We start from the raw sequence: 20776 nt of genomic DNA, 5'->3' as shown, positions 1-20776 counted from the left end.
GAAAAGAGGACCTTTTGTACCAGGGCTTGGATGCTTTTTCCTCTAAGTGCAAGTAAGGAGCCTGGGTCAGACAATTGGAAAAACAATTCTCCAGCCAGCCTTCAGCTGGCAGACAAAGCCGTGCATCTGACACCCAGCAGAAGAGCACAGAGCAAGCGCCATCTCTCCTTGGGCAGCTGGGGGCTCGGGGAGGTATCTTCCTCCAGCCACAGAATCGACTGCTGGCTCAGGCTGTCATCTGACTGCCTGTTAACCAGACTGCAAGCTCCTTCCCTGAGCTCAGCAAGGCAGAGGGAAACGAATCTGACCCCTGCAGCAAACTGAGGGTGTGTCTCTAAACACTGGCCCCAGCAGCCCAGAGGCACAGGGAGGAAGGATAGTGTCAGAGCAGGCTGGCTCTGCCCCTTGAAGAAAACGCCTCCCTCCACCCCCATCTCTTTCTCTGGCCATGTCTGTTTCAAGTGCTGCCTCCTTCAGCAGGGGCAGCATGATACAAGGGAAACTCCCCAGACCTCCCAAAGCTTCCATTTATTTTTATTTTTATTATTCTTTTTTTTTTTTTTTTTTTTTTTAACAGAGAAGAGGTCTTGTTATGTTGTCCAGGCTGCTCTCAAACTCCTGGACTCAAGTGATCCTCCCACTGAATAGCTAAGACTCCTGAATAGCTAAGACGACGACGACAGGTAGGTGCCACCATGCCTTGCTATTTTTTTTAATTTTTATTTTTTTTGGAGGCAGGGTCTTGCTCTGTTGCCCAGGCTGGAGTGCAGTGGTGTGATCACGGCTCACTGCAACCTTGACCTCCTGAGCCCAAGTGATCCACCCACCTCAGCCTCCCTAGTAGCTGGGACTACAGGCGTGCAACACCACAGCCGGCTAATTTTTTTGTTATTTTTTGTAAAGGCGGGGTTTCATCATGTTGTCCAGGCTGGTCTCAAACTGTTGGACTCAAGTGATCTGTGCACTTTGGCCTCCCAGAGTGCTAGGATCATAGGCATGAGCCACTGTACCTGGCTATTTTTTCTTTTTTGTAGAGATAAGGTCTCACTATGTTGCCTGGGCTGGTTTCAAACTCCTGGGCTCAAGTGATCTTCCTGCCTTGGCCTCCCAAAGTGCTGGGACTACAGGTGTGAGCCACCATACCTGGCAAGCTTCCATTTAAAATGGATAAAAATGAGGATGATACTGCCTTTGTCCAGGGTTGTGTGGATTAAAAGATATCATGTACATAAAGCACCTGGCTGAAGGTCTAGCTCACAGTAAATGCTCAATAAAAGGTTAGTTTGCTTTCCACTTCCGCTCTGTTGTCCTCTGAGTGCTCCAGTCCAGTAAAACCTATTTTTAAAGTTGTAAAAATATTTTTACTTACACTTATTTTTTGATACATTCACATGATTCAAAATTCAAAAGATACAAAATGTTATTCAGAGAAAAGTCTCCCTTACCCATCTCCCAGTTGCCTCTCCGCATTCTATTCTACTCACACGCAGAGCTTAACACTGTAGACACCAATGAGGGTTGGCATCAAGCGTATTTTATTTGCCTTGTCACCCGCTGGGCCTGGCACATGGTAAATAGAGAACCTATTGAATGAATCTGTGAATGAACCAAAGTGTAGTTTCCATTTCTTTAGAGTCTGCACTGGAAAAGCTGTTCTCCACGGCCATGCAGCGTGCTGGGGAAGGAAAGGGCTGAAATGGTGGGGTGACTCCAGGGTATCCTCTGAAATAAAGTCATATTATATATTTCATTATCACCATAATCACTTAACATCCGAAGCCCCAGCTGGCCTGTCCAATCAGCATCCGTTGGTGGTACAATTTGTGAAATTTTGCCGAAGGGCCTTTTGGCATCAGAGTGAACAGAGTTGAGCACCCTCGCTGCTTCTCCGCTCTGCTCTTTCCTGCTTGCCCCAGGAGTCACCCACTAGTCAACTGACATAGGCCAGCAGAAGCCCAGGTTTCTTTTCTTTTCTTTTTTTTTTCTTTGAGACATGGTCTTGCTCTGTCACCCAGGCTGGAGTGCAGTGGCGCAATCATGGCTCACTGAAACCTTGAACTCCTGGGCTCAGGGGATCCTCCCGCGTCAGCCTCCCAAAGCACTGGGGTTACAGGTGCCTGACCCAGAAACCCGGGTATCCATGTGAGGTGTTCCAGACTGCAGACCGGCTGGGAAATGCTAATGGATGCTCTCAGGACGATTTTGCCCAGGCTAGGAAGTTGTTCTATTGTTCTGTGAACTGCCATGGCTAAGTCAAGCTGAGCTGGTTCTAGTTCCAGAAAAACTCAGGGTCCTCGGCAATGGACTCACAGCCTGTAACCCTGGACTCCTTCCTCAGCAACTGGAACCTGTCTTGGTGGAAGCTCAGGGCCAGGAGGGACATGGCAGCGAAGAGGTCCTGTTTGGGCAGAGATTGGCAGGTCCCCACCCTGGCACCACAGAGTGTCTGGAGCTGTGGTCTGCCCAAGCCCTCAGCCTGAGCTGTGCAGATGGGGAGAAGCCGGAGCTCATCTTCTCTCCTTGCCTCAGACTCACCCTCATGCCCAGAACCAGCAGAGAGGAAATAAGATCATTTCAATCTACACAAAGAAGAGCGTTCAGACACAGCAGATATCATTCTGATCTATACACTTCATGCAGTTTAACCTCCTAGCTTTAAGTTAAAAAAAAATCTGAACAGGCAGCTTTCCCAGAAATGGTCTGCATTTCAGGGGAAGAGGCAGGTTAAGTGTAATGGACGGGCACCATTTAGTGTTCTCCTCTTTTTCTGTGGTTTTGGATGAGTGACATTTTTGGAGAGAGATGAGAAATGGCCATGCTTCCTTATTAGTGCACTTCACGTGAACTGACTGAAAACTTATACTCGTGTTTGTTAATATAAGGACTTGAAAGTTATCACCATAATGGACTCTTGTCTTCAAAAAATGCTTGGAAATACTCCATTTTCAAAAAGTTTTCAGGACGACTCTGTTTAGACTATTTTTCCCTGCCAGGGCTGTGTAAAATGTATTCCCCATATGGCTGAAAACAAGAACAAAAACAAACACTGGAGATACTGCTGCTCAGGCCATCTGACATCTGCTTGTTTAGACCGCAGGATTCTGGCTGCCCACGGGGTGGGGATGGGAGGTGGAGCTCTGTATGGAGAGGTCTCCATCCCCCATCACCAGGCGGCAGAGCCACGCAGATGACAACTAGCTTTTTAATAAATACTGGGAGTTGAAGGAGGGGAAAGAAAGAGTTTTGATGGGTCTTCTGTGTGCCAGGAAGTGTGTTGGGCACAGGCGGACCTCAAGCTTTGGTGTAACTTGGCTCCCTTTCAGGAGGCAGTACAAGTCACGGCTGTGTGCAGGGCTACGACATGGGGCCAAATATCAGGAGAGCAGGAATCAGTCTGGTCAATATGTCTTTCGTTGGGGCCCCATGTAGAGGAGGATGGGAAAGGAATCACTTTCCTTTTACTTTCCTTTGGTGTAAATGGGAGCACGAGAGAAGTTTCTATAACTGAGTTGGCTCCTGACATCAGACATTCCCTCCTAACACCCTTTCTGCTGCCTGGGAGCTGTTGGTGCCCTAGGACCCCCTGCCAGTTGGAAAACACACATCAGTCTCCTTAGGCCTGAGCCACGGGGCGGGAGACACCTTCCACCTCGCCTCTTCCACTCGGCACTGATGACCTTATTGGCCCAGAAACACCTTCTGCTTTGCAGGATTACTTCCCTGATTAACTGTTTTATGGTGTGTCCCAGAGACACTAAAGAACCATTCAGGGTAAGGACCCTGCGCCACGCTGTTTTCTTTAGATCCCACCATATGCCTTGTACACAGCTAGCACACTGGTGGTGTTCGATGACAAATGTTTGTTAGCTATCGCTAATACACTGGTCACTTTTACACTAACAGGGGAAGGGGGGAAGGCAGCCAACACTCTCCCTTCTGGACCAGTATGAATTCTCTAACTCCCTTTCCCTCCTCATTTTTACGTTTTTCTGACTCTCTGAGTTGCTGGCACAAGGTTGGCACTCCCCCAAAGCACCTCACACTCCACAACTTTCAGCTGATCCCTTCTCTGAGCAATCCTGCAGAGCCTCGACTCACAGCCAAGCAAACTTATTACCCTACTTTTCAGGTGAGGAAACTGAAGCTCTCCTCCACAGGCACTCCCAAACTGCCCACAGAGGGCAGTGCTCTCACTTTCGCTGGTGCCACTGGCAGCCGAACCTGCTTCCTGCTGCACGGGGGCAAAGTGGCAGACCCTCTCCTCTGGCTCGATGGCCTTGCTTGGACAGTGCTCCCCCTTCCCAGGAGCCGGGGGCTGAGCGACTGAGCCGCAGCCTCCTCAGCCTCACCAGATGCTCTGTGCCGATCCCATCAGGCGACTGCTGACGTCAAAATCAGTTCCTTAGGCTGTGCAGAGAACCCTAAAGACTGCTGACAGCTGCACTCTCAGGCCCAGAAACCACATAAGAATTCATCACCATCTCTGTCTTCTGCCTCTTAGCAGCAGACGCCTCTCAGCCTAGAGTGGGCTTTGATTCCACATCTGAAAAAGGGTCACTGGCCAGGGTCTGGGTGATTTTTTTTCCTTCTCCTCCCAGACTGAATTGCGCATGGCCTCAGGAAAACAAAGATGGATTGAAGTAAATTATTTGTCCTGATTTTCTAACCTTGTCAACTGCTTTTAGGAGAGGGAGGCAGAAGGGGATGGGGGAGGGGAAAGGCGCATGGCAGGGAATGAGTAACTATCTGCCAGCGGGCTCAGGGCTGTCCTTGCCGAGGCGACCAGACATGGCGGCTAACAATGAGGAACTCCCTTTTCCACAGAGCGGGCTCAGTCTCCACTTCAGCTGTGTCTTACCGTGGGGCATTTGGGTTGTTACCATGTTAATTGCTGTGTCCCCCTACTTCAATCCCCTTTACATCGTCACCTTCTTTTTCAACTCCCCTTTTCCTACTAGGCTGAGAGACAACAGAGCTGTTTTGTTTCAAAAGTGCTTTGTCCGTCTTCCCTGACAAAGGCTCCAATTAAAGCCTGCCTTTTGTCTTTGCACCAGGCTAGGCTGGTGGAGAGAGGAAAGCCACGGAGCTCTGGCTTCCAGAGCGTGGTCTAAGGCTCTAACCTCCCACCTGCCCCCTCATTTTTGTCTTTCCTATACCTCTTGGGTTGCTGATATTTGGTCTTGCTCCCCAAAAGCACCTCACACCCCGCAACTACCAGCTGGCCCTTTCCCTGACTCAGAGGTCAGGGCTTAGGCCCACATCTGCAGCTTGACAGAAAGGAAATACATGGACATGACATGAACATGACCGGGAGGAAATACATGGCCCTGACTTGACATGACGTGAAGGAAATACACGGAACCAATACTTGCCAAATGACCTTCTCATACCAGAACAGCCTAATGTAAAAGTAATCTTTTACTCAAAGCGCCAAGAAACTGCTGAAAGAATAAAAAAGTTGGGAGACCTAGATTCCAATTAACTTTATTACTGCTTGCCACATAACTCTGGGTTATAAGCCAAGTACTGGCTTCAATAAGTGGGACAAGAATCTAAAAGATTAATGAGGATTATGTATTTGGGTTCTAGTTCAATGTACACAATCTACTTTTCACCCAGGCATGGTGGGGAGGGGTGAGGAGGAAGTACACAAACCTCAGAAAGCCTGCAGTTACCTAAAAACACTGGTTAATCTGCCAGTTGGTCCTTCGGGCACCCCCACCAGCCTCCAAGTAACTGTCTCTCGGTCTGGTTCTTTCACAATCTGAATGTCATTACAGCACACTGCTGGTCTGGCTGTGGATAAAACCAGGCCAAAGAAAACATCCTAAACTTCTACTCAGAATCAATTTCCTTAGCAGTGTGGCCAGGGAAAGGGGTCTTAGCTCCTCAGATTCTACAGGGGAACACCTGTCTTATAATATCAGGGTGGTCAAATGTAGGATTCTGAGTACCAAATTATATATACTTAAGGTTTAAAAATACATACATACATACTTAATACAAATACACTATCAGGATCCATCAGCTGCCTTGAGATTTCCTGCAGTTTACCACTCCTAATTACCTCTGAACTTGCGAAACAGGAAGAAGGTGTATAAATGAAGTTGACAGAGTCCCTAGACTTCAGTTTAAAGCACTAGTTAAAACCTTTCAGATAAGACATACAAAAGAGCACATGCTGCAGTGATTCCATTTATATGAAGTTCTAGAATAGGCAAAATTTAGAGTGGAAAACTACCAGAAGAGGCTGGGTGAGGACTGGCTGGCTAAGGAAGGCACTAGGGAACTTTCTGGGAGTGACAGTAATGTTCAGTATCTTGATAGGAATTTGGGTTAGACAAATGTACGTATTTATCAAAACTCATGGAATAACAGACTTAATGGATTTCACTTTGTATAAATTTTACCCCCCTACCCCCAAATAACTATAAACAAACATCGAACTCTAGTTAATCATATACACGTTAAAGTGTTTGGGGATGAGAGTACTGATGTCTGCAACTTACTTTGAAATGCATCAAAAAATAACATGATTGCTAAGTGCACTGAGGGGTAGACAGATGGATAGATGCAATAAAGCACGTACAGCAAAATGCTAATTATAGAATCCATGCCCTACGTGGTGGATATTCAGGGATTCACTACTCAAGTCTTTCAAGTTTTCTGTAGTTTGAAAAGTCTCATACTGAAATACTGGAAAAATCTTTCAGGATCAGATCTTTTAGAGGATAATAAATTGTAAGATTAACACTGGTCTGAGTTTCATTTGTGATGAACTCTGTTCAACATGCTAATAAGCAAAGACATGCCCGAGAGGCGAAGGAAACAAAGAGAAAGGAATGTGGGAAAGTCGATGGCACCATTATTCCCTGTCACAAAGCCTTCTGGGTGAAGGGCTCTCAGCACAGCTTCTGTGTTGTGGTGTGGCTTTCTCTATTCTGGAACCCAGGCTAACCCCAGACTTGACAGTCTGAAAACTCAATTATCAGTGTTCCCAGGATGAGTACACCCTGGGAAACTGGCTCATATTAATCAGGGTCAAAAGAAATGGATCCCTACATCTGTGAGTTCCTTTAGCATGATAAGCAGCACATTAGAATACTTAGCTAGTAGAATATGTTTGTATCCTCTGTCTCCTGAAATCAAATAAAATTAGAAAATCAAATACACCTTCAAAATTCTGGAGTATGTGAAAGCTATGTGAACTACATTGAAGGCTCATTCATCTTTCCTGAAAACAGAATTCATGTGCTCACAGCAAGGTCGACCACCGACCCTGAAAGCACTTTTGTTCAACAATGTGAAAACTCAAGACTTGCAGGGTGTTAGGTCCTGGGCTGGGTTCTTTCAGTGGGGTCCTCACTGCACTAGGCACTAGCTGACTGCCCTCCTGGTGATCCAGTCCCTCCTCACAAGCACCCTGGTGGGGAGCTAGCATTCTTCCCACTTTAAAGAAGAGAAAAGCAAACATGAGAAAATCAAAATAACGTCCGTGGATCACAGCACTAGCCATATGTGGGCACTGCTCAATTCCTTATCCACCTAATTCATGGTGTCCAGCTTGTTTCAAGCCTCGCTTTCACTCTATGAAAGCTCAGCATAGGATTTCGAATGTACTGGATCGAGAACATTGGAAAGGCAGTGTGTAGGGGTGGAAAGAACAAGGACTTATGAATTAAAAACTTGAGTTCAAGTTCTGGTTCTGCCACCTAATTAGTTGTGGAACCTTGGACAAGTCATTTAACTTTGTTGACTTTCAACTTCCTCTTCTATAAGGTGAAAAAAAGTCGTCACTCATGGGATCATTGCTATGGACAAATGACCTGACTTCTCTTCCTTAAGATTCAGTTTCCTCAAACACAAAATGCACATATCAACAGAGGCCTGCTGTAAAGATCTGAGACAATGTACAAGAGGTCTGAGTGCAGCCCTGCTTTCAAGGCAGGGCTCTAATGAGGAGTTAATTTATTATGACACAAGTCTGAGCAAGCTGTGCATTGCCTAAAAGACACAGTTTTGGTGTAATTCATTCATTCCCTGAGTGACATCATCCTAAAATGCAAGGTTATTGCTGCTGTAAGCATGGATGGTGAGATCTGTTCCTCCTCCAAAGGCAATGCCTGTCTACCTCTGTTGCTGGGGGATTTTAGTCCCTGCCATTTCCCAGGGCCATAGCAGGAGATACTGTGCCTGTTTCCCTCTGTAACTTGACCAGATGCCAGCCTTACTTACACTGGGAAACATCTGTAGTCCTCGTAAAACCACAGATGCCAGGCAAATAGTCCACACCACCCTCCTCCCTTGCACATTTCAGTTTACAGCGATTAGACAGGGCTTGTACTTGCCATTCACATTTATCTGGTTCCAAAATAAACAAAATTCTATCTAAAAAACAAGTTAATCAAAATCCAGGTTCCTTTGTTTTTTGTTGTTTTGTTTTAAAAGATACACCAGAGGGAAAGGGCTTCCTTTTGGCAGAGAACGTTTAGAACATGTTGTGTGAACAATAGCTCACTTCCTGGACACTCAGCTGGAGGCAGCTTCTCCATTCAGGACAAAACGTTTTATGTGAGGGAGTGACGCCTTTCTACAAGGCAGCTCTTGGGGCGCGAAGCAAACCGGAGGATCCAAGACAATACCAAAGTGAGGAGAGGGAACAGGGTCTCAACTCAGGCCTGCTCCTTCTCATGCAGGCTGTGGGCCTGCCTCTACTCCCTCACCTCAGACAGAGCTGGCTCCCACAGGGCAGAGTCTGCAGGTAGTGAAATGCCTGAGACTGTGGAATCAGCTTTGCCGCTTTCAGCAACGCGGCTGTGAGCAAGGAACTTGTTCTTCCCACACCTCCGCTTGGTCATCTGTAACAGGGATAACGACACCTACCTGGCAAACCTGTTATTGACCTCCGCTTAAGTGATCTGCCAGCGAGCTAACTGCATGCCACCCTGTCCCTCAGTAAGTGATGCCAGCGGACGGCTATGTCCACACTGGGCAGGCTTGCTCCCGCACACCCATGGTCTTCTGCTTCCACACACTCAGTGTTACCCTTACCAAGAGTCAGCTGGGGTCATTTCCAAAACTGCTTAGGATGGTTATATTTGTTGATGAAAATAGAAAATTTAATTAAACATTACATAAATTATGGAACCAGTGTAAAAGAACCTTTCTGTGACAACCAAGTAAGTACTTCGAAGAGACTCAATAATGAGATCATTTTTTAAAATGTGCTCTTGAATTAAGGGTGGTTAGGGAAGTAAGTTGTAAAAAATTCCAAAAGAAATCTATACTCAGATTGCTTCACAAGTGGTCAAATTCTGGCTTTACTTTTAAGAAACAAACTGGAAATTTTAGTCAATGGTGTTTTATAGATGTGGTTCATGTAATAAAAGGAAGGCAGAGAACTCCAAATTAGTAGATCTACATTGGAAGAAAGGGCCCAGATCCACATCAAAAGGGTGCACATCTATCCATTGGGGTTAAATTGTTTGATTCTTTTTAAAAAATGACTTCCTCCTTTGGTTTTGTAATTAACCAAACTAAACAACCCTCATCCCAAGTGGCCATGTAAGAGGCTTCTACTGGAACAATGGCACATGTGGAAAGCCTCTGGAGGAACTGGCAGCAGTGCCTCATAAACAAGATAGCCGCTATGACTGCAGAAACTCTCAAACCACCTTCACCATCAAATAAGTCAACTCCCAGAGACACAGAACCCCTCTCTGGCTGCGTTTTCCTAGAAGTCTCTCCCCTGCAGGCTGGTAAACCACCCCAGGTGACTCCCGAAATTTTCAGCCCTTCTTTCTTCCTCATCAAGGTTCCTGTTTGAACAATGCCTTACACATTATTTATCACTGCCTCTGTCCAGGGCCAACTAGCCAGGCCATGATCTCTGGGTTACAGATCACAGGCATTAGCAAGTCATGGGCTCTCATTGTCAACTCAGGTTACCTCACGCAAGTCAAATTTCCAGCTTCTATTCATCTGCATGTGGCAAGGGGTGAAAAGAAACTGCCCCTAGCCCACCCAGTTCTCAAGCTGAGTACACAGAGACAGAGGGTCACTCAGTTAACTAAGACCCTTCTCCCCAACACAGTCCTCCTACCTACCCTGACAGACTGTAAGGCACGAAGGCAAAAGCAGGGGGAATCCTCCAAGTCTCGCAGACATATTCTGAGGCTCAAGGGCATCCAAGGTCATCCAAAAGAAAATGTCTGAGCTAGGAACCAATGTGAGCCCTGCCCCACCCACAACCCCATCACAGACAATTAATTATGGAAATGGCAACCTTATGTCCCCCAAATATAACCATGGAGGATACATTAGAAACACTCCATGGGAAGGAAAGATACATGGAAGATAATTATTTTCAGTTTCCTATGTAACCCTCACCTGTAAACAGGGATGCTAATGCCTGCTTCGCAGGACGGTGTGGGGAGGATGCGATGACACAGGGAGGGTGGCTGGCACATAACAAGCACTGATGAGCACTGGTGCCCTGCCGGCACCCTTTGTGGACTGATTGCATCTAGGGTTTCTGCTTTAGAATTCTTGCAGCAGAGGCAGCCTGGCTGTACCACACTGATGCAAACCTGCTCACACATACATAAGGTCCGAGGATGGCTCCCGGTCTTTAGACACATGGACACGCCTCTTCAGCTTCTTTTGTATTTCTCACTAGTGCTCCTACCAGGTACTAAGCACTGGGTGGGCTCAGTCAACACCCAGTGGAAAAACAGACAAAGAGCTTTTAAAAGTGGTTACACCTTAACTGATTCTTAGGGAGGGATTTGTTTAGGACATACATCTTTCTTGGATCTGAGACTTTTCCTGAAGAGAAAATGAGAGGGGGGAGACATGGTGGCTAACCCAGCAAATGTGTGGCATCTTCCCACCTGAAATTCCTCCAACTGCGTCCTCACTGCCTTACTGCTAAGTTCCTGTGTCGATATCCTCTTACATCAGCCCCATGCTGACCTCAACAACAAGGAACTGTGTTCTTTCCTCTTTAAAAAAATGAAATGTTTCTTAAATTCCAAAGAACATATTTTATAGTATTGTGATTTCAACAGCAATAATAAATGACCCATTCACATGCCTACTACCTGGTTTAAGAAATAGAAAATGCCCTTCCTGGGATCACTTCCCCCCATTTCTCTGCTCCTCTGAGGCCACCACCATCCTGAATTAAATGTTATTATCCTCTGGCTTTTCTTTAACCTACCATCTATGTCAGTATTCCTAAATCATATAGGTTTCTGTCTTTTTTTCTCAGCCAAGTGGACAGGAACACAACTTGATGTCCTCAAAGTAGCCCAATAGGTTCTGGAACCGAAGTTCAGACTGGTCACCTCCCTCTGGCTGGCAGGAAAATGGGAGGCCACAGAAGAGCTCAGCATCTGAAGAAAGGGTGGTGCTGGCAGGCAGAGAGCAACAAGCCCTGGCTTCTTGTTGGGCTGGTAGTGTGAGGACTCCTGAGAAAATCCATTGCCTATATGGGCAGCAACATGCAACAGCTGGGGGCTAAGTGTCAGGTTAAAGTGTACAACCCCATGGGATTACTAGGAAGAACACAGCCTTTTCAAAACAGGCCAGTGAAGAGTGCCTATTCCAGGAAAGGCCCTGTGGACTTACACCCTTGGGTTTGTTAGCAAGTGAGTCTTGCAAGTTGCAATTATGGAGTGTACAAATTTTCTCAGGAAAGACATCAAGAAAAGTGGCATGAAGGGAGAGGAAAGGCAGAAAAGATGGTCATGCAATCCTCTACACTTTGTGAGACCTTTGCAGTGGGAGACCCCCGAGCTGCCCACAATTCAAAGGCCATCTCCAATCTCAGCCTGCAAGAAGATTCCAGAGCGATCACAGCCCACCAGTCTCAGCTGTTTTGTAAGCATTGATTGCTGCCAACAACTGTTCTCTAGGGGCTTTGTGTATGTGCTAGGAGGTAGGGCTCTTCAGAAAAGGAGTGGAAGCTACAACCTCAAGACAATATCTAGAGAGAAGGCAGTCAGAGGAGCCAAGGAAAGAGCTAGTTTATTAACGTTTGACCAAGACCCAGGACAACTGTTATTTTTAGTATTTCTCATAACTTTATAACATCCCCATTGTTGGCTATTTATTGGCTATTTTCCGCAAACCTCTCAGTTTCCCATTTTTGTTTTAACATGCAATAAAATCTTAAAAGGGGATTGTGTGCTTATTTCAAACACAGCAAAACTGGGGAGACACTGGAAAACATTATTCCTTCCCCAGAGTTCTGGGATACGAGGGAAGAGGGAAGACACAGTGGAGGCAGACACCTGGACAGGTGGGCCAATCCCTGAGGTCTACGGGAGAGAAGAAAGGGGTGAAGGGGAAGCTTACTGGGACCCCAAAGAGTCCCTGGCTAAAGGCCAGAGGGTCCCAGGCTGGGCTTCAAAGCTCCACTGTCAGCCAGGGCATAGGAATCTCATCTTCGAAAATTCTGCCTCTTGTAGAATCAGATGCTTGAGTAATAAGTGAACTGGTGTAGAGAGAGTCTGAGACTGAAGGAAATGATCAATAAGAGCCTTGTTTTTCTCAAATACTTTTGTGCTCAGGCCATGTGTGTCTGTGTGTAGGCAGGCACAAGCATCAGAATCTCAAATATGCTTCTACATAGCTGAAAATAAACAGGATGGCTCTGGTCAAAACTGTGAAGTTCAAAATCTCAAACTCCTCTTTTTTCCTTTGCCCCCAGAAGTGGGAATAAGTGAGAAAAGCTGGTACAGGGATCAACAAACTTGGCCCTTGGGCTCTCACCACCAAGTCAGTGGAAATGGAGGAAAGGAAGACGAGGGCCGCAGGAGGCAGGCAGCTGCAGATTCAGCAAGCAGGGCCTCAGACATTATCCACATGAATCTCTCAATTTTGCAGGTGAGAAAACTCAGGCTCGGAGGGGCTAAATAGTTTAACCAAGGTAACAAGGCTAGCAATACAGGGCCTAAACCTTTCTTGTTGCCTCTCTGCCAAGATACCCCACTGATTTTGCAACTGAGGAGGTGGCAGAATATGGAGCAGCCCTTGATGAAGATACCTTCTATGGCCTGAGTTCTGTTCCCTCAAATTTCATATGCTGAGGCCCTCACCCCCACTATGAAGGTATCTGGAGATGGGGCCTTTGAGAGGTAATTAGGGTTAGAGGAATTCATGAGGGTAGGGTTTATATAGAAGAGGGAGATACATATATTCTGCCATGTGAGAATATAGTGAGAAGGCAGCCGTTTCTAAGCCAGGAAGAGGGTCCTTGTCAGGGGCCATGCTGGCTGGCACCATGATCTTGGACTTCCCAGCCTCTAGAACTATGAGAAATAAACATCTGTTGTTTAAGCCACTCAATCTATGGTATTTTGTTACAGAAGCCTGAGCTTCCTAATACATGACTTAGGCCTCTCGAGGGCTGAGCACTGAAGGAAAAAGACCTGGGAAAAATGACCTTTCTCACCCTTCCTTCTCTACAGCCCTGGGCAGAAACACACACTTGCCTCTTTCAGGAGAATGGCTTCTGTGCAGAGCACTGTGCTGTCCCACTTCAACAGGGACGCACGTGGCAGTAGCCCCTTAATTTGGTAAGTGTGTGGGCCATTTTCCTTCCTAACTGGGAGGAACAGAAATGTTATAAAGCTGTCAACTTTTTATCAAGGCAAATGACTTTAAAAATTAACAGGATGGACTGGGCGTGATGGCTCACGCCTGTAATCCCAGCACTTTGGGAGGCTGAGGTGGGCGGATCACCTGAGGTCGGGAGTTCAAGACCAGCCTGACCAACATGGAGAAACCACATCTCTACTAAAAATACAAAATCAGCCAGGTGTGGTGGCGCATGCATGTAACCCAGCTACTCAGGAGGCTGAGACAGGAGAATCGCTTGAACCCAGGAGGCGGAGGTTGCAGTGAGCCGAGATCATGCCACTGCACTCCAGCCTGGGCAACAAGAGCGAAACTCCATCTCAAAAAAAAAAAAAAAAAAAAAAAGTATGAGGGAGATCTTTGTGGTGACAGAATAGTTCTGCATGTTGATTGTGGTGGTGATCACATGAACTTACACATGATAAAAATGCATATAACCCCCCCCCACACACACACACACATACATGCAAAACTGGTGAAATGTGAATAAGGTGTGTGGATGTGTGGATTCTTCCACGGTCAATCGCCTGGTTTTGGTATTGTATTAGAGTTAAATAATATATTACCATGGGCAGAAACTAGGTGAGGGGTACTAAAAAAAAGGACCTCTCTGGACTATTTCTACAACTTCCTGTGAATCTATAATTATTTCAAAATAAATTTAATAAAGACAAACATTTAACAATCAACATGAAAACTATCCCTTTGTTTTATAAAAGAAAGAACAACTGAAGCACAGAAAAAGGAAAAGTGGCCAGGTGCCATGGCTCATGCCTGTAATCCCAGTGCTTTGGGAGGCTGAGGCAGGAAGACCTCTTGAGTCCAGGAGTTCAAGACCAGCCTGGGCAATACAGCGAGACCCTGTCTCTACAAAAAAACAAAAACAAAAACAGCCGCGCATGGTGGCGCACGCCTATAGTCCTACCTACTGGGGAGGCTGAGGCAGAAGGATCACTTCAGCCCAGGAGTTTGAGGCTATAGTGAGCTATTGTCACACCATTGCACTCCAGCCTGGGCAACAGAGTGGGGCCCTGTCTCTAAAAAAAATAAAATTAAAAAAAGGGAAAGAATGAACATAATCAGAATAAAGGTGGTTGGCAATCAAATACCATCAGCACTATCACAGCACTCTTCACTGCCCTTAACTCTCTCCTTTCATTCTCCTTTCATCGTGGACCGGTCGAAACTGTATTGAGGACTATCTCAGTAAGAATGCAAAGTTCCAGTTTCCCCATCTTCACCACTGTGGCATGCAAACAATGTGCCAGCGGACCCACCCACAAGGAGGCCAGGCATGAAGCTCCCTTTCTTCCCAGACTGATGGGCTTCTGACAGTTCTCTTAGCCTAGAGAAAATGGAAAACAACAGTAGGACAAGATGGGGGTGCGGGTTGGAGTTAGAGGAAAGGCACAGGCTGGCAAGAAATTTAAGTTTCTCTTCTGTCTTCTACTACTCTTACCAGTGCCCAGAACCCTCTGCTTTCCTTTTCCCCTCCCCAAGAGACAAAGAGACCTGACGCCAGCCATCTATGTGCCCCAGGATTTTTCATTCACTCCATCGTGCCCTCTCCCTGGCCCAGACTCTGAGACCCAGAGTCTATTTTCACAGTACCCTCTCCCTTCTCTTACCACCATCCTTGGCAGCTGCTCTCAGCCCCTGAGTTGCCTGCCCATGTTCCCTCCAGAACCAGGACCCCAGGGAAAACCCTTCCTGTGCCACTAATGGGTGGTAAAGCAGACAGTAGGCATTTGTCATTTCTAAACCCTCCCATCTGCCAGTTTCCAACTGCAAGCACCTGTGACTGAGGATTCTCTTAGGCTGCCAGAGCCCTCTAGACCTGTACACTGGGTAGACTGAAAGCAAGAGGGAATTAACGTCCTGCCCCTACTCCCACTAGGTGAGTAGCCCTCACCCAGACTGACTGGAAGTGGTACATAAATACCCCAGCTCCCTTGATCTAAAGTAAATTTGAGTCTCCCAGAGTTCCCCAGCAGGCCACGGCCCAAGGGGTAACCTGCTGGGTAACAAATCCTTTATTGGTTTCCTTTCTTTCTCACTCCCCCACTCCCCTACCAGTGCTTCCTGGGATCACCTCCCAAATAAGCTATTTGCATTTAAATCCTGCTTTTGAGATTTTAAAACTCAGCCAGAGATAGGTGGTCACAGGGAATCCTAACAATTGGGAAATTTGAGCCAGAATTTCAAATGTAAGTGAGTGTATCTCTGTGAGTGTCTGAAGAATGTACATCTGTGTAATTAGGGAAGTCATCAACAGTAATGGCTGCTAGCAGATACTAAAAAGCTAATAGGGAAAAACTATAAAAACTTGATTTGCCTAGGTAATATTCATTATAGCCATTTATATGACCTGCTTTTCATTTGCCTAATTACCAATGGCACGAGAACTACCATGTATATATTAAATATGTCAGATAAAACTTGCATTACATTTTATTTGATTGCTAGTGTTATGTAATCCCATGCCTGGTTCTTGCGTGTTCATAACTGTGTGCTCACATGCATAGTCTGTTCACGAATAGAGGGAACACTGTTAGGACGTGGCTCTTCAGCCTTGGTTCTCAAACCTCAGCGTGCCTGAGAACCACCTGAGGAGCCTGTAGAAACATTACCGGGGCCCAGCCCCAGAGTTTCTAATTCAGAAGGTCTGGGGGAGGAGGGAAGAATTTGCATTTCTAGAAAGTTCCTAGGGACGGGTGATGCTGCTGGTCTGCAATTGCCCTTTGAGAACCACTGCTGTAAGGCACCACATATGAGAGAAAGAAGGAACTACAGGGTTAAACTTTCCACTTAGCATTAGCAACATGAAGGCTGACCAGTCTGTGTACTGTTTCTAGAAAACTGGCAGAATCTTCTAATATTTTAGATCAGTCACTGAACCAAAACCAGATTTGGTATGTTGACAGTTTAAACCAAAAAAAAGTTAACATAACTGTTAAACAAATCTCGAGAGACCTGGGTTTGCTCATTTATTCAACAAGTGGGTATCAAGTACCCAGTCTGCGCCAAAGATGTTGCTATGCAGCAGAGGTTTGGGCGCTGTCAAAGGTCTCGTGAGACTCTGAGTAGGTCACATCCTTAATGGGCTCAGTTTCCTAACCTGTAATGAGAGAACTCACACTTAGGGAACCTTCTGACTCTGATGTTTTACAATGAAAACCAACGCAGCATCTCAGCTCAAAGCAAAAATATTCTGCCTAGTTGCCTGGGCAGCATGAAGTCAAACGTGAGTAAGATCCTAGATGCCCCATCAGGCCAACTGTGACAGGGCAGGTGAAGCCCTGGCAGCAGTCCTCAGCCCCAGACCCTTCCAGCTGCTCAGAGTCCAATTCAATTCATGAATGCCACAATTAAAGGTGCTGCCAAGGTAAGTTAGTACTATGCCCAACACCAATCAAAGAATGTAAAAGCACCCAGCATGAAATCCATGTTCATAATTGGTACTCCCCTGATATATTATGACATTTAATCACTCCAACTGCTGAAGGGAAAACTAGAGCCATTCACTAGAATTAAGGATGCTATGATAACCTCCTCAACTGGGGTTTTAAATGAACCTTGTGCTAACAGCTTTCCTGCTCTGAATGTAAAGCAGGAGGCAAGCGGAGAGAGGTGGGGCAGCCACCTGTGAAGGGCAGTCACTGAGGACATGGCTCTGTATTTCCAAAAGGCCTGGTTTCTGAATGAAGCCAACAAGCACTGGCCTGCCACACTCCACAGGAAACCGGCAGGAAACGCTCTTGTTTTATTCTGTTTAACAGAAAGACAAACTGATATCCAGGGATGACTAGTAAATCAACTGTGGAACTGAGAAGTGAGGCTGATTCCCGACTCGCCCAGGTTGGCAACCTCTGAGCAGTTTGCAGCCAGCCTTGAGGTAGAACTCAAAACAAACATCTACCCTAAGACCCATGTGTCAATGTGACATGAGGGTGGAAACAGAGGCCAGCAATGGCCATGTCAAGAGGGGTACCCAGGGGGTGGGGCACATTTACCCACCTATAAGCTCAATAGCCTCCTGCCAAGCCAACACCAATAAAAATAAAATGCTTTTACATATAAACAACTAATGTTTTCTTATTCTTATTTAAGATATAAATAGAAGTGTATTTTAGAAAATTCTTTTTGTTGATCTAAGACATAAAACAGGTAAAACAAAGCCAAACAGTGAAGCACACCATTCAGATGAGCCCCCAGCCCCTACTTCAACCAGATGGCTGCTCTTAAGCCCTCTTTAGATAGAATTCAGGAGCCACTCAACTTCCTTCAAGGAAACTTCCTAAGAGAAGGAATTGTGTCCTTTAACTCTACCCCCTGCACCCAGCACCTAGCACCAAGCTTGACACATAATTGGCACCTAGTAAATACCTGCTGATAAAGTAAAGTGCACGGTCCGGCCAGCCTGCTCAGCCACTGGCAGTGCAGCTGAGAAGAGGGCTCCAGGGAGGCCAGCCAACGCCTTTCTTCCTGTTACTCAGGGCGAGGCCGTTCCCAAGCCAACATTTGCCACTTACTCGCGGGTAATGAGTCCCACAGGCTATCGCCACCAGTGTCAAGTGAGCTGTTTCCCTCACTTTTTGTAAAATATCCCCTTTAAGTTTTTGCATCTGGGTTTTGGCTCAGGATGCCAGGATTCGTGATCAAGTCTGTCCTTAGCCCATTTGTCCTTCTGTGATGTCACAGGGATCAATCATCACTCGGCTCAGGCTTCCTCTCTTCGGCCTCACTTTTGTAGATCTGACTGCCTCTGACCAAGCTCACTTCAGATTTATGATGTTTTATTTCCTTTTCTAGCACAACAGTGAAGAAATGTAGACACAATTACCTTATTACATAAAATTTAGCAAATGATGCAATGATACCGGCCTGAGTAATACCAAGACTACAAAGGCTTAAAAATATCTTTTAATTAATGTAAGTGAGAGGCACTGTCTAAACTAAACTAAAAGGCACAGCCACAAATTTGACAAGGGTACATGGTGCTCCCCAGATGCAGACAGAACTTCCCACAAGCCAGGTCTAGACCCAGGAATCTTGTAATTTCTTGTTTCAGATGCTCTGACTAACGTCAATGAGTGCCCTGCAGGTCCACTTGCCTTCCCCAATGCCACTTAGGGTGTCCCTGAAAAACAAGGCTGGGGCTAGTGACTGTGGGATAGCTGATCCCACACTATTCACTTTCCAAGTCTGTCTCGGGTTTGACTCCAGACAGAGAACAAACATTCAAGAAAAAGAACCAAAACACTTACGGTGATGTCAAAATAGAAAACCACCCACAAAAGCTTATACACAATTTGCAGTGGATCACTACAATGAAACAAACACACATATGCTGTTCCTTGAAAAGGAGAAAGCAAAACTAAGTGGCAAAAGGTACCAAGGTAGCAAACTAATATACCTCTAAGAAATTCATCAGCAGACACACAGACACACCCCTGGTAAAAAGGGCACAGCAAACCTAAACCTGCAACATTATGTTCTCATAATGCCACATAGAGCAGTTGAAAGCCTGGCAATAGTAGGTGCTGAGTAAATGTTGCTTTGTGGAACCACCGACCAAAGGAACCTGAGTGTTAACACCACTGATGACTTCTAACAAGTACCTTAGTGGAGCTCTCTTCCAGGAACAGGGCCCGATCCTGCCGCTGAACAGGCTGCAACATCCAGCCTGCTCAGGTCCACCTGGGGAAGTGAACCCCTTCCAGAGCACAGAGAGACGTTAATGCATCTCTGCATGAGGACCAATAGACTCGTTCTTCATTGAGATCAATCTCTGTTTCCATCCTCAAGGGCCTGGCAGATTTTACATTGGAATCTTTGTCAGCGGTGAAACAAATGCATCCATCACTAAGCTCCTGCCTTAGAAATGGGCAGTTCTTGAGTTGTTGCCCAAGATGAAAGAAGGCCAAAATCTAATTGAACCTTCAGGAAGAATTTAGTACAGAGAAACAGCGTTATCTGAACTGGAGCATGGCCAGACCCCTAGGTTAATACCCCAACAGGAGAGACTCATCAAAGACCTTATTTGGGGATCAGCAGTAATATTTTTGATTCTTAAAAAATGGGCCTTGGAAAAATTTTTCTTTAACCAAATGAATTCCACCAGCATCATACATGTCTGAGATGTGAACTCTCTGCTCTATTAAGTGCCTGTAAAGCCCGTAATGGCTGTAAGCACATGAACCCAGCTGAGGATTTGCTTAGTTCTGCTTTGCTCTGCTGCAGCAAGTCCTTCTGGAGACCTGTGGGAACATATGGAGCTACCTGAGCAGGAGCTGATATTTTAACAGAAATATACCATATCTGGTTTGGTTCTTTTCTTCTTTCAATCTAATTTGGAATAATAGGGGCCAAGAACTGTCCAAACTATTTCTGTTCTTGACTTACGTATATGATACTTAGAAGCAGAAAGACTGTTAACACCAATGTGACATTATCAAGGGGGATTCTATTTGCATTCTTTATAAATGTTAACTATATATGGAGGCAGGAACGGGCAGTGAATGAAGTTAGCTTAAAACATATTTGACATTTAAATGCCAAATTCATCTCCCCCTTTCCGAACCAGCTTGTTTTAGTGAAATATTTTTACCTTTAAAAAATGGGTGAGGGAGGATTAATTTATTAAGTGAGAAAGTCATAAGACATTCAGTATACATCTCCCAAAATCTGTAAATTTCTGTGCTCACATCTATGAAGCAAATTATTCTGAATATGCTTTAGAATCTCTCAGTTGTGGCATAAAAAAGGGCTCTACCTTATTATTAGAGAAAGAAAAAGAAAAGAAAATTCCAAATTTAAGGGTGAGGTGAAGGAGAAGGGCTTAATTATTATATCTCCCTCAAGAAGAAGAAAAACAGATACCTATCTATGCCCAAGCGCAGCAAGTCTTTAGCAATCCACACCTTGAGTTCTTTGGGGGAAAACATGACATTTTAAGGACTCAGGACATCCCACATCTTTCTGAGGCCCTTAATCAAGGACTTGCATTTTTTCTATGCACCCGTTTGGGGCTGGGGAGCCGCAGGGCTTGTAAAAATGAACTGTGATTACTACTCTGGAAAGGTCTCTCATCTGACTGGGGAGAAGGGCCACACACACAAACAAGAGCAGC

The 20776-nt window shown here is 45.7% G+C and overlaps 1 protein-coding gene across 12 annotated transcripts in view, besides 3 other annotated features; it reads right to left on the bottom strand.

Moving 5' to 3' along the window:
• The window catches only part of ANKS1A (ankyrin repeat and sterile alpha motif domain containing 1A), a 208736-nt gene that overhangs the window by 44809 nt on the left and 143151 nt on the right, over window positions 1-20776 (bottom strand). The window lies entirely within an intron of this gene.
• Window positions 3712-4558: an enhancer, noted in NCBI's record as "H3K27ac-H3K4me1 hESC enhancer chr6:35016401-35017247 (GRCh37/hg19 assembly coordinates)". NCBI's record gives its function as "activates a minimal SCP1, AML or CMV promoter by ChIP-STARR-seq in primed H9 embryonic stem cells {active_cell/tissue: H9 hESC(primed)}" and the evidence as "EXISTENCE:reporter gene assay evidence [ECO:0000049][PMID:30033119]".
• Window positions 4559-5407: an enhancer, noted in NCBI's record as "H3K27ac-H3K4me1 hESC enhancer chr6:35015552-35016400 (GRCh37/hg19 assembly coordinates)". NCBI's record gives its function as "activates a minimal SCP1, AML or CMV promoter by ChIP-STARR-seq in primed H9 embryonic stem cells {active_cell/tissue: H9 hESC(primed)}" and the evidence as "EXISTENCE:reporter gene assay evidence [ECO:0000049][PMID:30033119]".
• Window positions 8037-8688: an enhancer, noted in NCBI's record as "OCT4-NANOG-H3K27ac-H3K4me1 hESC enhancer chr6:35012271-35012922 (GRCh37/hg19 assembly coordinates)". NCBI's record gives its function as "activates a minimal SCP1, AML or CMV promoter by ChIP-STARR-seq in naive H9 embryonic stem cells {active_cell/tissue: H9 hESC(naive)}" and the evidence as "EXISTENCE:reporter gene assay evidence [ECO:0000049][PMID:30033119]".

This window comes from Homo sapiens, chromosome 6 (assembly GCF_000001405.40).
Source record: "Homo sapiens chromosome 6, GRCh38.p14 Primary Assembly".
In the NCBI taxonomy this organism is placed as follows: Eukaryota; Metazoa; Chordata; class Mammalia; order Primates; family Hominidae; genus Homo; species Homo sapiens.
This window is presented reverse-complemented; position numbering and strand designations above follow the sequence as displayed.